General features: G+C 40.3%; 1 annotated feature.

Moving 5' to 3' along the window:
• Window positions 426-720: an enhancer, noted in NCBI's record as "tiled region #6063; HepG2 Activating non-DNase unmatched - State 20:ReprD". NCBI's record gives its function as "activates a minimal TATA promoter and a strong SV40 promoter by Sharpr-MPRA in HepG2 cells {active_cell/tissue: HepG2}" and the evidence as "EXISTENCE:reporter gene assay evidence [ECO:0000049][PMID:27701403]".

A 6,142-nucleotide genomic window follows, 5' to 3' on the forward strand; every position in this document is an offset into this window, starting at 1 on the left:
TCTTCCTCACACCCATCCGCTGGGAAACAGGACTCTCCTTCCTGCTCTGCAGGGTGGAAAATAGGACCCCAGGCAGTCGCTCCCTTGGAGATGGGTCCCACACTCCATGAAGCTCAGCATGGGCATAAGAGCTGTCTGGCTGCGGTGGCTGCCTGTTTTCAGCAGGGGTCTTCAGCCAGCATTTTCTCCAGGAGGGTAGCACTGAGCTTTCTTCCAGCTGATGGCTCTGGAAGGCACCACAAGTTCTTTTTGGCGCATTTTCCACTTTCCTCCTCTCCTCCCACTCCCCTCTCTCTCTCCTCACCCCACACAGATCCTGTGCTGATTGACTGCCATCGCCAGGCTTCTGTACCAGGCAATCAATCAAAAGAGACCTTCCCACGCGGAACAGCCGCCGCCCCTCCACCAGACTGCTGCCTCTGACATTTCCTGCGTGCCTGGACTGAGCCTGTTTGGAAGGCTCCAGCCCCCTCCTATCAGTCTGGGCACTCAGGGCTCTGGCAGCAGCTGCCGCTCTGAATGTTGACACCCTGCCACGTCAACACTGGCCGGGCCGATGTTCCTTCACACTCATCTGCTGAGCCCAAACTTCCCCTGCTGGCGGGCTCTCCCTGTTTGAATGGGCTCCCAGTCAGAAAGGGCTCCCTGAAGCCTTAGCTCCTTGAAGCTCGCCCCTTGCAGCCTTCCGGCTAGAGGATGTGGCTGTTGGATCAGCTCAGTGATCCTTGGTTCACAAAAAAAGAAATTCAGTTCAATGTGGCCTTTCCCAAACCCCCTCAAACAGCGTTCTGTGCAGATTGAGCCTGCTGGCCTTGGCATTGTCCTTCCGACTTGATTTTTCAGACTATCTTTCCTCTTGTCTGTGAGAATACCATGGGGCTCAAGGACCTGAAGGAATTGGTGCATGTATTTCATTTGAACTTTGCTGAAGCTTTTTTATTTTAAGCCAAGTGCTTCCTCTGCTGTCTAGAAAAAAAAAAAAAAAAAAAGAAAGAAAAGAATCCTTCTCTTGCCGTCTTTTTTGCCCACACAGATAGCCGCTTCTCATTTTTCTGGTTCCAACTTTCAGGTAGTTGTATACTAATTGCAACTAATTCTTGAATGTAGACTAATTAGGAAATACAGAAAACTACAATAAGGTAAATTTTAAAAACCTCCTTAGGCCGGGCGCGGTGGCTCATGCCTGTAATCCCAGCATGTTGGGAGGCCGAGAAGGATCACTTGGGGTCAGGAGTTCGAGAACAGCTGGCCAATATGGTGAAACCCCGTCTCTACTAAAAATACAAAAATTACCTGGGCGTGGTGGCGGGCGCCTATGATCCCGGCCACTCAGGAGGCTGAGGCAGGAGAATTGCTTGAATCCGGGAGGCGGAGGTTGCAGTGAGCCGAGATCACACCCCTGCACTCCAGCCTGGATGACAGAGACAGACTCCATCTCAAAAAATACATAAATAAATTAAAAAAAAAAAGAAAAATCCTTCCTATCTAAGGAGCAAGAGATAATAATGATTAACATGACAGGATATATCCTTACAGTTTAGTTCTCTGCATTATACATGCAAAGAATAAACACACATGGATGACTTTTCTATGTACAATAAAAGCACCATCACTTGACACATCTCAGAACCATTTCTGATTTAATGTTTTATGAATCTTAAAGGCAGGATTACTCTTTGACCCACCAATTTCCCCCTAGAATGGAAAAGTACATCAAAGTGTATGTACTAGGTTGTTCATCACCACCATTATCATATTAGCTCCAAATTAGGGACAATTTAAATTCCCAGCAATAAGAGATTGGTTAAATAGATTGTGGGATAACTGTGCAATGTAATACTAGGAGAATATAAAAAATGGTGACATACATATATACATAAATATATATACACAAACATGGGCATGGAACACTACTAATAAAAAGATCATAAATTAGTATGCATAATACTTTACATGTATGCATCTATCTCACTTTGGAAGATGATATCCAAAATATTAATAATATTTATCTCTGGCCGGGTGTTTTGTGAGTAATATATGACTTTAGATTGTCTGATTATGTTAGAATTCTTGTAATGAACTCTTATGCTTGCGTTAAAAAAGTTAATAGGAGAAAATATAGTAGAGATGATTTTTCCATATCATTGTTTTTCTCAAAAATGACTGTTAATGGTTCGCTACCACCATGTGTTTATTCATTTCCCTATCTCAACTGCCTTATTGTATACTGAGGATGGGAGTGGGAGGGAATGAGGCTTAGAGACAAGAAGTACCTGACTAATTAGGAACAAGCCTGGGCTAGAATCCAAGCCTCTGTTTCAAAGGTCTAAATCCTATGCTGCTTTCCAGTTGTTATAGATCTAGGAGTCACTGATATATCCTACAAGTATGCTGTGTGTATGTGTGCGTGTGTGTATGTAACACATATACACACAATATTTTCATATTATTTTTAAAGGGAGTTGAAGTTGGCGCATAAAATGGTTATACTTTTCCAGTTCCCTATTGGCTTCCCTTTGAACTTGGAAACCATTTCCTACTTGAACCTCATCTCAATTTTCTCTACACCAGTTGTTCTCCAACTGAGGTCCCTGATTGGCAGCAGCAAAATCACATGGGAACTTGTGAGAAATGCAAATTCTGGGGCCTCACCCTAGCCCTGTGAAATCAGAAACACTGGAGAGCGGCCCACCACATGTGTTTCAATAAGTCCTCCAGGTGATTCGGATGCTCAATTAAGTTTGAGACGCTCTGCTCCACGTAAACCAAAGCAGCAATGACGGCAGGCAAAACCAGCACAAAACAAAAACGAACAGAAAAACTACAGTGGTCTGTGTTTCTTATTACTTTCCTTCCTCAAGTTGCCGTCCCTTCTGCCTCCTCTACCCCTAAATCAACCTAGAAAAATGTGAAGAATGTGGATTCCAAGGTCAGAATGCCCGGGCTTAAATCTGAATTTCATCCCATATTAGCTGCATCACCTTAAATGAATTATTTAGCATCTTTGTGTCCATTTCCTCATCTATAAAATGAGGTGAAAATCACAGTACATACCTCCTGGCACTACTGTATTAGTGTGTTCTCATGATGCTATAAAGAACTGCATGAGACTGGATAATTTATAAAGGAAAGGTTTAATTGATTCACAGTTCTACAGGACTGGGGAAGCCTCAGGAAACTTAGTCACTGAAGAAGGGGAAGCAAACATGTCCTTCTTCATATGACGGCAGGAAGAATTGCCAAGCAAAGGGTGAAAAGCTCCTTATAAAACCATCAGATCTTGTGATAACCCACTCATGATCATGGGAACAGCAGCATAGGGGAAACCACCCCCATGATTCAATTACCTCCCACCAGGTCCCTCCTATGACAGGTGGGGATTATGGGAACTAGAATTCAAGGTTGGAGTTGGGTGGGGACACAGCCAAATCATAACAACTACTAAACATACAGATTTGAGTGTCTAGCTATGCTAAGTATATAAAGGTGTGTGTAAATTATCTTTATTTTGGCTCTGCCCCATCAGAAGCACTACCTGCTCCTAGTGTCCCCATCCCCATTCACACTTACAGGTTCTGCGTTTAGTGTCCCAGGTTTTCTAGGTTGGTAAGAATCTTCTTATATTACATGTGTATTAATGGATTGCTAGTAGTTGTGGGTTGAATGGAAAGATTTTCAATTTCTAACCCCCAATCCCTGTGAATGTGACCTTATCAAAATTATTGCCTTTGTAGATATAATCAAGTTAAGGTGATATTATACTGCATTATGGAGGCCCTAGTCCAACAGGTGATGTCCTTCTATAATGAGGGAAGCTTACACAGACACACACAAGAAGGCCATGTGAAGCAGAGGCTACGCTGCCAGAAGCCAAGGACAGTCAGGACTCTCAGTAACCACTAAAAGATAGGAAGAGGTGAGGAAGGATCTCTCTCCAGAGACTTCAGAGAGAGCACAGCCTTGCCAACACGTTGACTGTGGACTTCTGGCCTCCAGAACTATGAGGCAATACATTTCTGTCATTTTAAGTCACTCAGTTTATGGCAATTTGTTATAGCAAACCCAGGAAACTAATATGTAAGTAACTTGATATAGGAGTCCTATAGCTCACTGTATTAGTTCGTTATTGCATTGTTCTAAAGAACTACCTAAGACTGGTTAATTTATACAGAAAAGAGGCTTAATTGACTCACAGTTTCACAGGATATACAGAAAACATGGCTGGGGAGGACTCAAGAAACTTACCATCATGGCAGAAGGGAAGGAGAAGCAGGTACATCTTACTATGGTTAGAGCAGGAGGAAGAGAGCAAAGGGGAAGGTGCTACATGGTTTTAAGCAACCAGATCTCATGAGCAACCACATCTCATAAGAACTCACTCACTATCACAAGAACAGCAAATTCGCCCCCATGATCTAATCACCTCTCACCAGGCTCCTACCCCAACATTCGGGATTACAATTTGACATGAGATTTGGGTGGAGACGCAGATCCAAACTACACCACTACTTAACCTGGAAGACATGCTTTCAGTATTTTCAGCAATATGGAGAACAGTCGTGGTGAGCCCTAAACTTGAAGTCAAAAGACCAATATCCAAATTTTAGCTCTAATACTTCCTAGACTTATAAATTTTTGTAGATTTCTAAACTCTCTGAACTTAATCTTCTCACATGTAAGATCGCCAGATAAAATGCAGAGCACAGAGTTAAATATGAATTTCAGATAAACAGCAAGTAATTTTTAGGATAATTATGTCTCACACAAGTATGTACTTTAAGACATAAAAATGTGTTTATCTATGGGAAACATAGTATTAACTAGAAATCCTGCATTTTTATTTGCTAAATCCGGAAACCCCACTCAACATGAAAATATAGTTGATAATATCTGATTTGCACTCCTATTGCACAAATTAAAGGGAAAATTACATGTGAAAATGCTTGCTATGCTTTAAGTGTTCAATAAATGTATATAATGATAAATCTGCAGAAATGGATGATCTTTGAGAGACTCAAATAGAGAACATAAGCTATTTCATAGAGGAGCCCTCAGATACTACCATATGAATTTTCATAAGCGTGATTTACTGGATTTAATTAGAAGAGGAATGTTATAGGTAGCTAGAGGTGACAGCATGGGTAGCAGCTATACATATATTTATATGCAAATGTATAATATTATACACACATAATATATGTTTATTATACATTACATCTATTTATTTATTTATTTGACAGTAAAGTATGTGAAAAAACAATTATTAAAAAGCAGACACAAATACTCTGAAGAAACCAGTTTGGAGTCAGGTAGTATAGGGGGAAGCAACGTTATACAGCAAGAACTCCCAAGTACATCATGGTTTCATCAATCATGGTATGGTGATTAATGACAATAATTACAATTCTGTGTCATTGGATAAAAATTAACTTGTATCTGTTATATTCTCTTTGTGGCAGGGCTGTGTGTGGCATTTCAGAAATATCTCTCCCCCAAACAAAAGTCTAAATAAGCTTAGGCATTAAAAGAATAATCTTCAGTCATCTAGACATTTCACTCCTCAGCAGATGAAACATTTGCATATTTTAAGAGTGGTCCTCTCTGAAGGTTAATAAAATATTGCAAGTTTTCAGCATTTCAGACAGTTGGGAAGCTCCTCAACTGGCAAGTGAAAGGTGGTTATTTGTTTTGCCTCCACAAATAACTGGTCTGTGAAAAGAGCTTTTAGGTTACTAATTTCAAGTCAAAACAAAATTACTGAGTAATTCATTAACTAATACTTAGTGAAAAAAAGTGAGAACAATATAATATAAGGAAGAAAAGTCTCTTGAATATAAGTCTAATGGAGTCATATTTTTCCTACCTCTAAATGCCAGAATTCCATTCTAAATGTGGTGCCAATTTTTATGAACCTCATATTTGCAGACCCCTTCAATAGTTTCAACCATTGAATAAAAATGATATGGAAACTATGGTATCTTAAGAGCTTAGAAGAACGGAACATATGCATCCATAACCCTACTCATAATGGAATTTTATACTTGAATCCTGCATTTTCCAAACTTAATTGACAGCAGAAATATTTTCTTTTTATTTCAATGGATTCGTATTAATATTCAGTGGAACACATTTTAGGAAACAC

This window comes from Homo sapiens, chromosome 2 (genome assembly GCF_000001405.40).
Source record: "Homo sapiens chromosome 2, GRCh38.p14 Primary Assembly".
NCBI lineage: Eukaryota > Metazoa > Chordata > Mammalia > Primates > Hominidae > Homo > Homo sapiens.